This window comes from Homo sapiens, chromosome 8 (genome assembly GCF_000001405.40).
Source record: "Homo sapiens chromosome 8, GRCh38.p14 Primary Assembly".
NCBI classification, from domain to species: domain Eukaryota; kingdom Metazoa; phylum Chordata; class Mammalia; order Primates; family Hominidae; genus Homo; species Homo sapiens.
Genome location: NC_000008.11, coordinates 53,251,656 through 53,266,294, shown reverse-complemented (window position 1 = coordinate 53,266,294; position 14,639 = coordinate 53,251,656).

Sequence of the window (14,639 nt, the reverse complement as noted above, 5' to 3'; positions counted from 1 at the left end):
GGCTAGAGCTGCATGGGTGTGGGGAGTGGGGAAGGGGAAAGGTTAGGAGTTAGTGCTGCCACTGGTGCTGCCATTGCCCAGTAAGAATTTCCTGCAGGCAACCTTTGAGGAACTTGGGATCTGCCAATGTTCACAGGCTGCTGAAGCTACCCCAAATAGTTCTTCCACCCCAGAAAGCTGGGGAAGGGACTACCACTTGGTTGCTGAGAAAACCAGAGCAGCTCTCAGCAACATAGAGCTGTGCAGGAAAAGCAAATTTCATTCTTCCTTATCTTCTCTGCTCAGGTATTCCCTATGGAGTGGGAGTTGACAGTGGGGGAATAGGAGCCTTGCTCAGCTTCTCCCATCCTCCTGGTACAGGATTTCCACAAGATGAAGTTGTACAAAATAGAATCTGTTGATGTTTCCTGGCTGCTGAATCAGTAGGACTAGGTCTTCTATCCAGGGAGCTGGGGGAGACAGGAGATGCCACTCAGCTGCTGAGCCTGCTGGAAGAGCTCTTGTACAAGGTGGAGCTGTGTCGTGTGTGTGTGTGTGTGTTTGTGAGATACAATTTTGTTTTTCTTTTATATCTATTCTTTTTCTCTAATTTTTGTTTTGTATACATTTTCTTTTAGTTTTTCTTTTTGATTATTCATCAGTGACTTTTACTTTCCTGTAGTACCTACTTGCAGGAAGTTCTCATGGTGTAGGGTGACATCAGGATCATATTTCATGCTTCAAAGCTCTGAGAGTCTCTGCCACACAGGCAGAATTTTACAATTTGAAATGACAAAAATTGGTCTAACATGATCGATATTGAGAAATATTCAGGTATACTTACTGGACTTTAAAAGATAATTTTAAAATCTATGAAAAGTTGAGAAAATGATCAAGTTTTATAAGAGGAAATGCAGTTAAGCTGAATTCACTTCTCCATGGCAACATATAAAGCCAGATGACAGTGAGGCAATGCCTACAAGATCTTTAAGGAAAGAAAGTGTGAGCAAATAATTTTTTATCTAGCCAAATTAGATAGGTTTTAAAATAGGTTTTAATACATAAAAGCTCAGAAAATACTGTTTCCTGAGCCATTTAAAAAAATAACACAGGAAAAACTTCAATAAAACATAAATTGGCTAAGGAAGCCAGAGCAAAGGTAATAGCAGTGAACATTGATAATATTTATCTGTAAAACTAAGATTAAAGAAATATGGAAAATTAATGTGACAGAATATAATGGAAATGTATATGCCTTGAAAATGTGGAAATGATACGTATACTAGTATATGTATATGAAAGAGAAGGTAGCAAAAAAAGTGTGAAGTGGCATAGTTTTGCTAATTGCCTAATTTGTAATGTCTGGGAATCAAAAGTATCACATGAAGTTGCAAAATCAAGTATTTAAATCATAAACATGTTTCACAGTTCAAAGGTGAACACTAAGAAATATATTGACTAAAACTTGGCAGTGGAAGGAGAAAAGAAATATGCTAATTTTTATCTTACTTATAGAGAGAATTGTATTAACTTACTATGGTTGCTCTAACAAACTACCTCCAACTACCACAAACTTAGCGACTTAAAACCACATAAATTAGGCCAGGCGCGGTGGCTCATGACTGTAATCCCAGCCCCTTGGGAGGCCAAGGCAGGCAGATCACGAGGTCGGGAGTTCAAGACCAGCCTGACCAACATGGTGAAACCACATCTTTACTAAAAAATACAAAAGTTAGCTGGGCATGGTGGCATGTGCCTGTAATCCCAGCTACTCAGGAGGCTGAGGCAGAAAAATCACTTGAATCCAAGAGGCGGAGGTTGCAGTGAGCTGAGATCACGCCATTGCACTCCAGCATGAGTGACAGAGTGAGACTCTGTCAAAAAAAAAAAAAAAGAAAGAAAAAGAAAAAGAAAAGAAAAGAAAAGAAATAGAAACTATACAAATTTATTATCTTATAGTTCTGCAGGTCAGATGTCCAAAATCAATTTCACAAGGCTAAGGTCAAGATGTTGGCTGGGCTGCTTCCTTCTGGGGATTCTGAGGGAAGAATTCATTTCCTTGCCTTTTTTAGTTTCTAGTAGCCACTTGAGTTCCTTGGCTGGTGGAATACAAGTGGTCACTAGAAACTGAAAAAGGCAAGATGGACCCTTCCTCCATCTCCAGAGTGTATCACTCCAATCTCTGCTGTGTCATCAGATCACCTTCTACTCGAATCTGACTCTTGCCTGCCTTTTACAAGGGCCTGTGAGATTACATTGGGTCCCCTGGGTAACCCAGGTTAATCTCACCATCTCATGATCCTTACATTACTGATAGCTACAAAGTCCCCTTTTCCATATACAGTAACATTCACAGGTTCTGGATGTTAGGACATGCACATATTTGGGGGGCACTTATTCAGTTTACCAGAGAAATTAATGTGTATTTTCTTCAGAAGCAGACGATTAAGGTGATTTTATGTAATCGTGATTATGAGGATAACCACTTCACCTTTATAAGCATTGTTATGGACTAAAATGTGTCTCCACAAATCTATGTGTTGAATCCCTAACCCTCAATGTGACTGAATTAAATGAAGTCATAAGGATGGGGCTTTAATTTTATAGGACTGGTGTTTTTACTGGTGTTTTTACAAGAAGAAGAAGAACCACCAGAGCCCTCTGTCTCTTTTTTTACATCCATGGAGATAAGGCCATGTGAGGACACATCGTGAAGGTGGCCATCAAAGAACAAAGGAGAGAGGCCTCACCAGAACCCTCCTATGCTGGCACTTTGATCTTGGACTTCCAGCCTCCAGAACTGTGAGAAAATAAATTTTTGCTGGTGAAGCCGCCCAGTCTGTGGTACTTTGTTATGCCAATCCTAGCAGACCAATATAAACAGAACCCATTCTAAATATCAGAGGAACTAAATACAAAAACAAGAAAAAATAGTACCCTATATTATTAGAAGCTGCAAAACAAAACCAAAACTTTGCAAAACCCAGAAAACTTAATGCAAAATAATAGGAGAGAATTAAGTCAAAATATGTCTGTGAAATTAATGAATACAAATGGGCTTAATTTACCTACAAATACAAAAATATTTTCAAATTGAATTAAAAAGCAAATCTCAACTCCGTGCTATATATAAGGAACACTCCCTAAATAAAGAGATTCAGAAAAGTTGCAGATAAAAATGATAAAACATTACACTAGAAAAAGGCAAAGAAAAAGAAAGCAGAGGTAGTGATGTTGTCCTAACACAAAGGATTGAGGATTGAGTTGTTAAATCAGAGTTCCACGAACCAGACAATCTACTATATATCAAACCTTATTAGTAATTTCCAAGTGACACAGCTATAGCAGCCAGGTGTCCAGGACATTCACATGTTCACCAGGTCCCTTTTGCTTGCACTGGACATACTCTCTGGCCAACTCATAAGATGATATTTCTAAATGAGTCTGTGGTTACCTTGCTCATGCATGGCAGAGAGCATTTAGGTTATGAAATGCCTTTATTTTATCTCAGATTTATATAATTTACATAACTTATGTGATATTTTCCAGGAGACATGGCTTGTATGTCCAAAGATTCTCAAGTTATTTACCGCAAACAATCCTAGAACAGGAACATCCTGCTAAAAGCATTCAATAGATAAGGACTCTTTTCTTATCTATTTCAATTATTCAACGTATTTTCTAGAGCATCTTTTAAGGTATGTTTACAAGGTGATTAGACTGAGCTAACTGCCTCCTTTATTTCCAAGGAGTTTCTCCCAAATCCTATAACTGAAGAGAAATGGATTGCAGGATAGTTGCTTAACTCCATCCTTCCCAGATGTTAATACCAGACAAGATGAGATGTGGGACAGAATGAACTAAATTAGCATTAATAAGTGAAATGTGCAGTGAAAGCATAACAATTGTAAATAGCAATGCATCAAAAAGTATGGCAATAACATTCATAAAACAGAAATTACAGAAGACACAAGAAACACAAGTGTGGTAAGGGAATTTAGATCACCTCTTTCTTATATGATACATCAAGTTGACAGTAAATAAATAAGGATATAAAAGACTAAAATACCATGGTTAATAAGTACATGTAATTGACATTTACTAAACTCTGTATCCTTAAATTGGAAAAAATATCTTCTTTTTCAAAAGCTCATGGAACATTCACATTTCCCATCTATTGAACCACGTAAGTAAATTTCAATATACTCCAAAACAGGAGAAAAGAAAAAAACTCAGACAATTTGATCATAGTCACATAAGAATAGAAATAAATTTTAACAATTAGAAAACAGAAAAGTTTCTCCTTTTGAACATTTACATTTACAAAACTCTTAAACAACTCTTGGATCAAAGAGGAAATAGAAACCAAAATTAGAGAATTTCCTCAAAGCGAGATAATGAAAACATTGTGTTTAAAGACCTTTGAAATAAAATAAAGTGAGAATTCAGAGGAAAATTCAAGCCTTACATACTTTTAACTATTGGGAAAAGGAAGAAATAAATTATCCTCCAAATGGAAAAGATGGAAGAACAGGAATAGATTAAGCTGAACAAAAACAGAAGAAAGGAATTAGTAAAGGTAAAAGCAGAAATTATGAAGCTTTTAAAAAGAAATACAATAGACTAAATTCAAATCTGGTTCTAAAAAAATAATGAGAAATGATAGAATAGATAAAACACTGTGTTTGAAAAGGGGAAAAATTTCAAATATAAAAATTAAGTAATCATAAGGAAGGAAGAAACTATAGGATGATATAATTTGCCAAAATTAACACCAGAAAAGATTTTCCAATTTTTTTTTCTGATTTTTTTTTCCAATTGCATTCTGGTAAAAAGAAGAGCAGATTCTTACTGAACCTATGCAAAAATCTATATGGTCATTAAAAAGTAGAGAGATTCAATAAGAGAAGTGAATGGTGTGGAGAATGAGAATCAGATGTCAATTAAAAATGTTTAATTTCCTTGTATAAAGTTGGAGTCTACTAAATTGCTACAGGTTAAGAATAGCTCAAAGATATCTAATGGGTGGTATGCAGCTAAATGTTTAACCACTGGCTCTTTAGAAAAAAAGAAAACAAGACCCTGACTGATAGCATATGCTAACTTCTGTGGTTTCAATACTTGCCTATCATGGCTGAGTCAGCAACCGATGTGATGTTACCGAACGCAGCACACCATTATACAGTACCCGCCACGTCCATATAATAGACATCTCCAGAGCACAGACTAAAGCACAGTAAAATAGTGAGGAAGTGATTCATTTATTTGTTTAATACCTTTATTTATAACGTAATTTATTAAGACAACATAATAATATGATTTTATAGTATAATTTTATAATATGATATATAATTAACATTTGTATAATTTAATTTTTAGTAGAGTCTGTTTTTAACGACCAGAACAAAAGATTCCCAAATGCTAAAGCACACTACTTACTTTAACTATGCTTTGATTAAATCACCCCCCTCTGAGAATTACAGGTATACCTGCACTCCTGCCCGGTGATGTATACACACAATTGCAGCATTGCTTGTGATAGAAGGAGATGAAAACAATCCAAACTTCTATTTGTGAAGGATTGGTTATATAAACTCTGGTATAGCCTCAAAGTGGAATACTCTGAAAAAGTTAAAATTTTTTTTTTAAAATTGAGAAAACTGTGTCTCAGTATAGAAATACCTCCAGAATGTACAACTACATTAAAAAAAAACATGGTGGGGAACAATTAATATTTTTATGTAAAAAAGTAGAGTATGTAATTTGATTTCATTTGCGTAAAGAAACACAAAAACACATGTAAAAGAAACTGAGAAAGTAGTTTGCTTATATGAGATAGGAGTAGGATGGGAGGAAAAGGATAGAATAGGAGAGAACAAAGCTTCCAAATATCTTTGTAAATAGTTTTGACTTTTGGTTCATGTGAACATATTAGCAAAACAATTAACAATCTTTTTTTTTTTTTTTTTTTTTTGAGACAGAGTCTCACTCTATTACTCAGGCTGGAGTGCAGTGGCATGATCTCGGCTCACTGCAATCTCTGCCCCCTGGATTCAAGTGATTCTCCTGCCTCACCCTTCCAGGTTGCTGGAATTACAGGGGCATGCGCTCATGAATGAATAATTTTTTGTATTTTTAGTAGAGACAAGGTTTCGCCATGTTGGACAGGCTGGTCTCGAACTCCTGACCTCAAGTGATCCTCCCGCCTCGGCCTCCCAAAGTGCTGGGATTACAGGCGTGAGCCATCACACCTGGCCAACAATCTTTTTAAACTAATAAGGAAATCTTGCTTGTTTTGACCTATACATAATGTTTTTTATTGTTCACCATCTAAGCTTGATAAATTATCCTATATAACAAAATGTTACTTTCACGTTTCATGTAATCCTGTTCATATCAATTATTTTTCCCCAAATAAACATATTTTCGGTATTCACTTATTCGATATTTTTCTTTTCATTGACTGTGGAATTGATGAGTCTTTTTTTCTACTTGCTTTAGTTGTCCAAATACAGTCTTTTTATGGAGAAGTTCAACATACTAGTATTGATGCAATTTTTCAAAATTGTTTCCGTTGTGACCATTTGTTTCTGGTTTAAAATTACATTAGGTAGCTCTTGCACAATGAAGACAATGAAGCCACAGTTCATGCTTCAGTGTTAAAGAGAACACTTGACAGTCTTCTCACATTTTAATTTTACTGTTATGACTCATCTCTGCTTTCATTCAAACTAAAATTTTTGTGCAACCTGGGAAGGTGAAAAAAATCACTGGGTTGAAATTCAAGAGGAAGATTCTATTCCTAGTCCTCCATTTATTAAGTGATCATGGTTATAGGGCTTAACCTCTTGGAACATGTTTTCTTAATTATAAAATAGGGATAGTCAGTTTTTTTCTGAGTAAAGTACAAGGAAGATATGACCAAATATAAGGCATTTTTTATATGAAGTACCTTGATGAAAGCAAAGACTCAAACAAATTTATGATATTATTATTACCATGACCACAGAGGTGGCTTAATATGCTGCCTAGATTTTGAAATATAAAAAATTTCTATATCTTCTAAATAAAGCTGGATTCAAATTTTGCTGTGTCATTGAAAGTATTTATGCCAGTTCTATCTCTGTTTATTTTTAATCTCTTTACCAAGAGTAATATTTTATAGCACCTACTCCCTCTGCTGTTTGAACGTCCTTGTTTTCACATTGTGTTAAACTGTGAGTGGGGGGCAGGAATAAATCACATAGAATTCACCTCTGTATCACCTGAAACATGCTTGCAATTATCTCGTTCTTTCTTAGGGTAGATTATTCAAACATTCTCTATTCTGTTTTTCTTTTCTTGTAGTTTGTAGAACCATGCTTTGATCTTCTTTCTAAATATGATTTTTTGAGTGCAGTCTAAAGCTTTTAATTTGAATGGCACATGCTGTGAAATGCTAGAAACTGAAGATCTTTTTCTTATAAGACAAAGGAGTCAGTAGAGATGATATTATTAGATGTCATGAGCTACTGAGCCTTCTCCACTGAGAGGATTTTTGTTTCTAGACTCTGAGTGCTAACTGAATAATTGTTAACTTTATTGCAAAATAAGTAAAATTTTGAGCAATCACTGCCTTCAGATACAAAGCTTGTTCCAAGTATAATTGCCTTTGGAGTCATGAACTCCTAAGTTTTGTTAAACTCAGTGAATTTATTGATCTTAATAAATGTGCACAATGCTATGTGGGATCCAAAGAAATCCACCAACCAGTTTTCTCTAGACTTGGGTTCTACCATTTTGGCCATAATTATACTTCAAGATGTATGTAAGAAAAAAGAAAAAAAAATGCTGTCGAAGTTGGTAAATTAAATATAACCACTGTCTCAAGGTAATGCTAGCTTTCCAACACATGCTTATATTCTATCAGCACTTTTACTGGTCCCGAGCCCATCCATTCTCCTTTGCTTCTTTAATGTGAAATGTAACATATAATTTGTCCTTTTTTTTTTTTTGAGACTGGGTCTCACTATGTCCCCAAGTCTGGAGAGTAGTGACACTGTAACCTGGAACTCCTGGGCTCAAGCTGGAACTACAGGTGGGCACCATTCCTGGCTAATTTTTATTTTTATTTAATAATTTTTGATTTTTTAAAAAATATTTTTGTTGTACAGGGCTGGCCTCAAAAGATCCTCCCTCGTTGGTCTCTCAAAGCACTGGGATCATGGCAAGAGCCACTGCGCCCAGCCTGCCATCATTTTTAATTCATCCAATTAATTTATGCTTTGTAGATGCCAGAAATTGTATTGGAGATATGAGTAAAAGTATCAGTATGAATATTTATTAACTAAAAATGCTTTTCTCTCTTTGCATACAGGACAGTGGGTTTGGTAAGGTTGAGGGTGATCAGACTACTTGCATGACCAGACCAAATTTTGGGGGACTGAGCACTGTAGGTTTGGTAATAAAGACCCACCATCCCAGGGTGAAGTTTGTCTTCCCTCTGCAGAAGCTGACAGCATGGCTGCCTTGTCAGAGCGCTTTCATGCCAAGGAGCCAGGTGAGTGGGGAGGAAGAGTTTAAAGTCTGCTGGTTGCTCAGGCTACACTCTGGAGATTCTGCACAGCCTCTCCCGGCCCATTCAAGAGCAAGGCAAAATCCAGCCATTCAGGGACTGAGGAGTCCCTCACTCCCAGGGAAGCCAGTTATTCTCCAAACTAGCAGTCAACCAGTCCCTCTCTGGTAAGTGCTTTTGTGCATCTGCCCTAAATGTCCTTGCTTGCTGGATTGTGCATCAGTAATTATAGTAATTCCTGAAGATGAAAAGCTCCTGGCCATCTTGCTCTCCCTGCAGACTCATGTCTTTATCCATAACCTGAAACTGTAAGACAGTCATCTGAACTATGAGCAACACTTTCATGTAAAGAGTGTGTTCAAGCCCTTTAAAATGGTTTTTTGATTCAGTTCTCAGAAGTTGAAGAATGGAAAGTGCCTACAGCTACAGTCCAAACCAGAATTTTCAAGTACAGTGAAGGCGGGAATGATGGAAGTAGAGAGGCATCCACTTGTCCTCCAGACCCACTTGAGGGGGATCATATCGGAGCGGGAGAGTCAGTTCAGCCAATGTTTGTGAAAATAATCCTTGGAGGGGTCTGATCTTCCCACCATGCTTCTTCTAAGGTAGATGAGGAGCATCCCCACACTGGGGAAGAGAATATAATTCCCAGAAACAGTCTTAGTAAACACTAATGTGAGGTAATGATAGGGGCTTGGGTAGGGGTAGAGGATCCTCCTGGACTTGACAGAAAACAAACCAAACAGAGAGAGAAAAAGAAAAGATCCCTTGGAACTTGAATATGTCTTTGCAAAAGGATTATTTATTTATTTTTTTAAAAATTGCCTTAAGGATTATAAATCATGCTGCTATAAAGACACATGCACACGTATGTTTATTGTGGCACTATTCACAATAGCAAAGACTTGGAACCAACCCAAATGTCCAACAATGATAGACTGGATTAAGAAAATGTGGCACATATACACCATGGAATACTATGCAGCCATAAAAAATGATGAGTTCATGTCCTTTGTGGGACATGGATGAAGCTGGAAACCATCATTCTCAGCAAACTATCGCAAGGACAAAAAACCAAACACTGCATGTTCTCACTCATAGGTGGGAATTGAACAATGAGAACACATGGACACAGGAAGGGGAACATCACACTCCGGGGCCTGTTGTGGGGTGGGGGGATGGGGGAGGGATAGCATTAGGAGATATACCTAATGCTAAATGATGAGTTAATGGGTGCAGCACACCGACATGGCACAGATATACATATGTAACTAACCTGCACGTTGTGCACATGTACCCTAAAACTTAAAGTATAATAATAATAAAATTTTAGAAAAGTAATATATCATTTTGTAAAACTTCAAATAATACAGGCATTACAGAGAATAAAGAGTGAATTTTCCTTTAAAAAATTGCCTTAATTTAATTTGTCTGCAAAAGGATTTAGAAAAAGTGATTTCGGAAATTCTTTTACAGAGAACCTTATGAAAAACTCAACTTCCTACAAACTGGGCAGATAGAGGCTGATCAGCTGAGACACAAAGTGGCTTTGCCATGTGTGACCCATGGCCTGGCAGCACTGGAGCAGCTGTCCACTGCAGCAGGAGCCTTCTCTCCCTACAGTCACCAATAAGGATGACCTTTGGTCAAAATCCAGGCTAGTGATGACCTATAGTGTGTGGAGTTGGCTGTGTTTTAACCTCAGTGGAAACATACTGAATTTCAATGAGTAAAGGGGAGAGTAACATCACACAAGCCAAGAGCCTGAGACCTTGTCTACCAGAGGGAGGGCACCTCCATTACAGAGAGCAAAATTCTCCCATGGCCAGCGGCAAGGGGTGCTTTTTGTGTTCCCACAGTTGTGATATAAAGTGGGGAGTGGCCCTGGGCAGTGAAAGAGAGGCAGGTATGTTTCGCACTAGCCATGTGGCATACCCCTACCCTCTGCCCCAGGTTAGGAGTACCTTCAGCAGAGACTCTAAGGCCCAGTGGGTCTTTGCCCTTTCACTGTTTTATTGTCTGTTCATTTCTGTTCTATTGCACAAATATAAAACATAATTTTAATTATAGATATTACTGGTGTCTCCAGTGACATTCTCTTTGCCAAATAACTTATTTAAGTTCTTGGACATGTGGACACTGTTGATCACCTCTCCATCCTGAAATTCTTTCTTCTCTTGGTTTCTCTGCTTATGTTCCTCCTTTTTCATTGATGCCTGTTCTTCATCAGTGTTCTTTGATAGATCCCTATTAAAGCGCATGCTTTCTCCAGCATTTTCTCATCAGCTTGATTTTCTTGCGATGTTCACTTTCCATGCCCTTATTCACCTGCATGGCTCGGCCTGTGTCTCTCCAACACAATCTGCCCAGCATTAGACAGCCCTGGACCACGCACACAAATGAATGCCTCACTGATGCCTCAAACACAGCCTTCCAAACCCAAGCTCATTATGTTCTTTCTACAGCTTGCTGTGATTCCTCCTGTATTTCTTATTTCAGTTAATGGCACCGTCATTCACTTGGTCACCCAAGCATAATCCTAAAGTAATTCTAAACTCTTTCTCCTCCCTAACTTCCATATTCATCCAGACCATTTCTTGTCAATTTAATTTCCTACACAGTTCTCAAAACTATCCTATCCTCCCCAATCTGCTTAGCAATTGTGTTGTTTTAGGGTTGATTCATCTCTAACCTAGATGGTTAGGAGAGCTTTACTACTGTTCTCTGTCCAAAGGTGTCCTCCTTGTGTCAGTCAGGGCCACTTCCACCACACGGTCAGCTCACGATCCCAGCACAGCCGGGCCGACCTGCTCTTCCCTGAGTCTGCACCCTGGCTGTCCTGATGCACCACTTTCCTCCCCCCACACCTTCTGTAACACTGCAAGCCCCACACCACCACGTGTCAGGCTCTCACACCTTTGCACATGTGCCTCCCTGCCTTTCCTTCTTGATAAAATTCTTGCTTAAATTCCGATCCCTACCTTAGTGTCATCTTTCTTCTACTACCAGAGATAATCTCAACTTCTTTTGAAATAATTCTGCCCATACGTCTGATGTGCCATTCATTGCTTTGTGTTGCCAAAATTTCTCTCACTCCCCAACTTAGAGTCTGACATGTGACTGGCATTGACTTTTCAAACCTGTGGATTTAATGCAGTCAAGAATTTCAGTATAAGCAGTTCCAAGTTTAAGTCTATGGCCGTGAAAAAGTCCTGGTTGCATGTTGTCTATGTCACATGCAGATGCGCGGCACCTTTAGCTGGAACAGCACATGATTCCAATTGAATTTGGAGCTCCTCACACCTCCTCATTCCCTCCAGTATGTTCACCAAACTAAAGACAAGTGATACTTCAAAGACCCCAATCTGGGCATGCCACTCTCCTGCCTGAGAGCCTTCACTGGCTCTTTATTACTCTTAGGCTGAAATCCAAAATCTTTGACATTCTTGACAAGGCTCAGCATGGTCTGCACCTTAACTGCTCTTGATCACCAGGCTCAAGCACCTCAGCCTCGTCAGGGTGCCACAGAAATGCCCCACTCTTGACCATCTACATTCTTCACATATGCTGTGGAATGCTCTTTCTTCCCCCTCTCCTGGATAACTGCCATAACTGCAATCCTTAAATATCAGCTTCAATGCCATTTCAAGAAGGGCTTCCCTGATGTTCTCTGACTGAGCAGGGTTCCCAGACACCAGGTCTTCTTCAGGGGATCTGCACACTTGTGTAGACTACACTGCACCTAAGTGTGCAGTATCTCACAGTATGCTTCACACCGAAGACAAGACTGATTTGGGTATTTATTATAACAACTTGCTGACAGATCTAAGTAAAGTGCCTTATGAAAGGGATGCTATTTTTAAATTTCATGCAAATTTGCTGCACTGGCTATCACTGTTTATTAAACACCTTTCCACATAACATTTGCCAGAGTTGGATGAATTTGTTATTAATTATTTATTAATTATTCCTAACATTAAAAAAATTTAGATCCCATGTGTCACACTAGCTTCACATCCTCTTTGAGAAGAGATTGTCTCTGTGTTGGTATTGTTGTATCCCCAGAGGGTGCCTTTTCTTCAGCCACTTGGGGATACTCTGCAATATCTGCTGAGTGAAGTGAGCTGAAGCCAGCTGCATCCCGGCTCAGCAAGACTCCATTGGCTGCACTGGGGTCTTAAGCTAATGAAGTTGCTCCCTCCAGCTCTGCACTCATTGCTGCACAACAATATCTGTTGTTGGAGCCACAAGAAAGGGAGTTAATTGCAATTTACTGGTGGGTTATCTAGTCTATCTAACAAAAATGTCAAAGCCACCCACTACCCAGGATGCTCCTTAGCATTGTAGCATTATCCAATAAAAATCTCCACATTTTCATCTTTAAAAGTGCTTTCCATGTACTTAGTTATAAGCATAGTGTTTGCATTGAGTAGAATGGCCAAGTATAACCACATGTGCTTTATATCAGTGTGTAACAGTATATAGCATTTTAGCAGTTTACTTTTCCTTTCTATTTTATGAGCTTTTATCTGATATTATGATAAAATTGCATACTCCTAAGAGCATGACTCCACAGAAGCAGCCATACTTCCTGGATTTAGAGACTCGAGTGGGTTCCCCTGGCAACCTGAGCCACCTGAGGGCTTCTCAATGCTCTGTTCATTTTGTCTTCCCTTTATTTTGGCCATTAATTTGGTAAACAAGAAAGGTAAGAGTGCTCAAATGAAATAAAACTACTGAGGCCCTTATGAGGTCTCAGCAGGTCTGATGTGTTACTGAAGGAGATGTGATCCTTCAATGACAGTTTGCAATCAGACTTAAAAGAACTCTAAGACTTGATAATAATTTTCAAAATTATTTGAAAGGGTTGAAGGGATATGGTTGAACAAAGGGAAGATTTCCTTATGCTCTTCATATTACACTGCTCAAAAGAGTTGTTCATCTCCAGGCGGCAAGACGCTGGTGGTCAAATCCCACTTTGGGGTCATGGCGTCTTGAAAGAGACAGGAACCCCCTTCTGCCCTCCGCTGATGGAGGGAAGGGCTGTATCAGTCATTAGTGTGTCCAGGTGTGGCATGGACATTAGCTGTGGGATGCAGTGGGGACCTGTGTTTGTCAGCCTGAGGCAGTGAATCCACTGGGGAAATTGAGGTGCCTAAACCCCCAGTCTCCCCCAGGCCTGTCTCCAGTACCCTGTGGAGAAGGGGAACTTCCCCACTCCCTTTCAGAACCTTCACCTCAGGGGCTGAGCCCTTGCTCCCTTTGTGTCTTGCCGGTCCCTTTGCCTGAGAAGAGAATGTCTCTCACTCAGCAGGATCTGACAGCTACCCTTGGACTAGCAGAGTTTTGCAAAGAAATGATGGTGACAGTTTATTTACGGACGCTCAGATTCGCGGCCGTATAATGGAGGCAGCCCTACTGTGAGGGAGAAGTGAGGAGAACGTGATGGCTGCAGGGATTAATGTAAAACAGAGACACTGTCACCTCCCTGGAGCACCACTGAGGCCCGGGTAAGGAGAGTGTTTTGCCCTTCTCAGATACTATCAGCAATTCAGGTAATACCCGTAAGGTGCAGTTTGTCTGCAGCCTGTCATCCCAGTTAGAGCAGACGGAATGGAAGAGAACGCAAGGAAATATTCTATTTATGTGTCTTTTAAGTCATTATTTTATGAACTGGTCTTATTCTAACTGGATCATTTTGTTACTTTCTTTGGATGGGCCATTCTAATAAGCGTAGTTCCTGACTGCGAACTATGCAGATAAGAAGTTCTAGACACAATATGAAAATCCAGGTGCATACTTGCACTAAATAGGCATGCTCCTCCTTTTTACTAAATCTAAATGGCTCAGTCTCAGGTCTTGGGGAAGGCTGCATGGCCGGGGACCAGGCGGTGTGCCGCTCGGGCAGTTAGTGGGCCGGGCGAGCCTGCGGGGCTGGAGGGGACGCGGGGCTGGGAGGCTGGGGAGCTGGGGGCTGACTCCGGGCGGGCGGGGCGGGGCAGGGACCTGCCGGCCTGGGGCGGGCGCACCAGACGAGCTCTCCGCCCGCAGGCCCCCAGCGCCCAGCCGCGTCCCGGCTGCGTCCCGCCGGTCCCGCCCCGCCCCG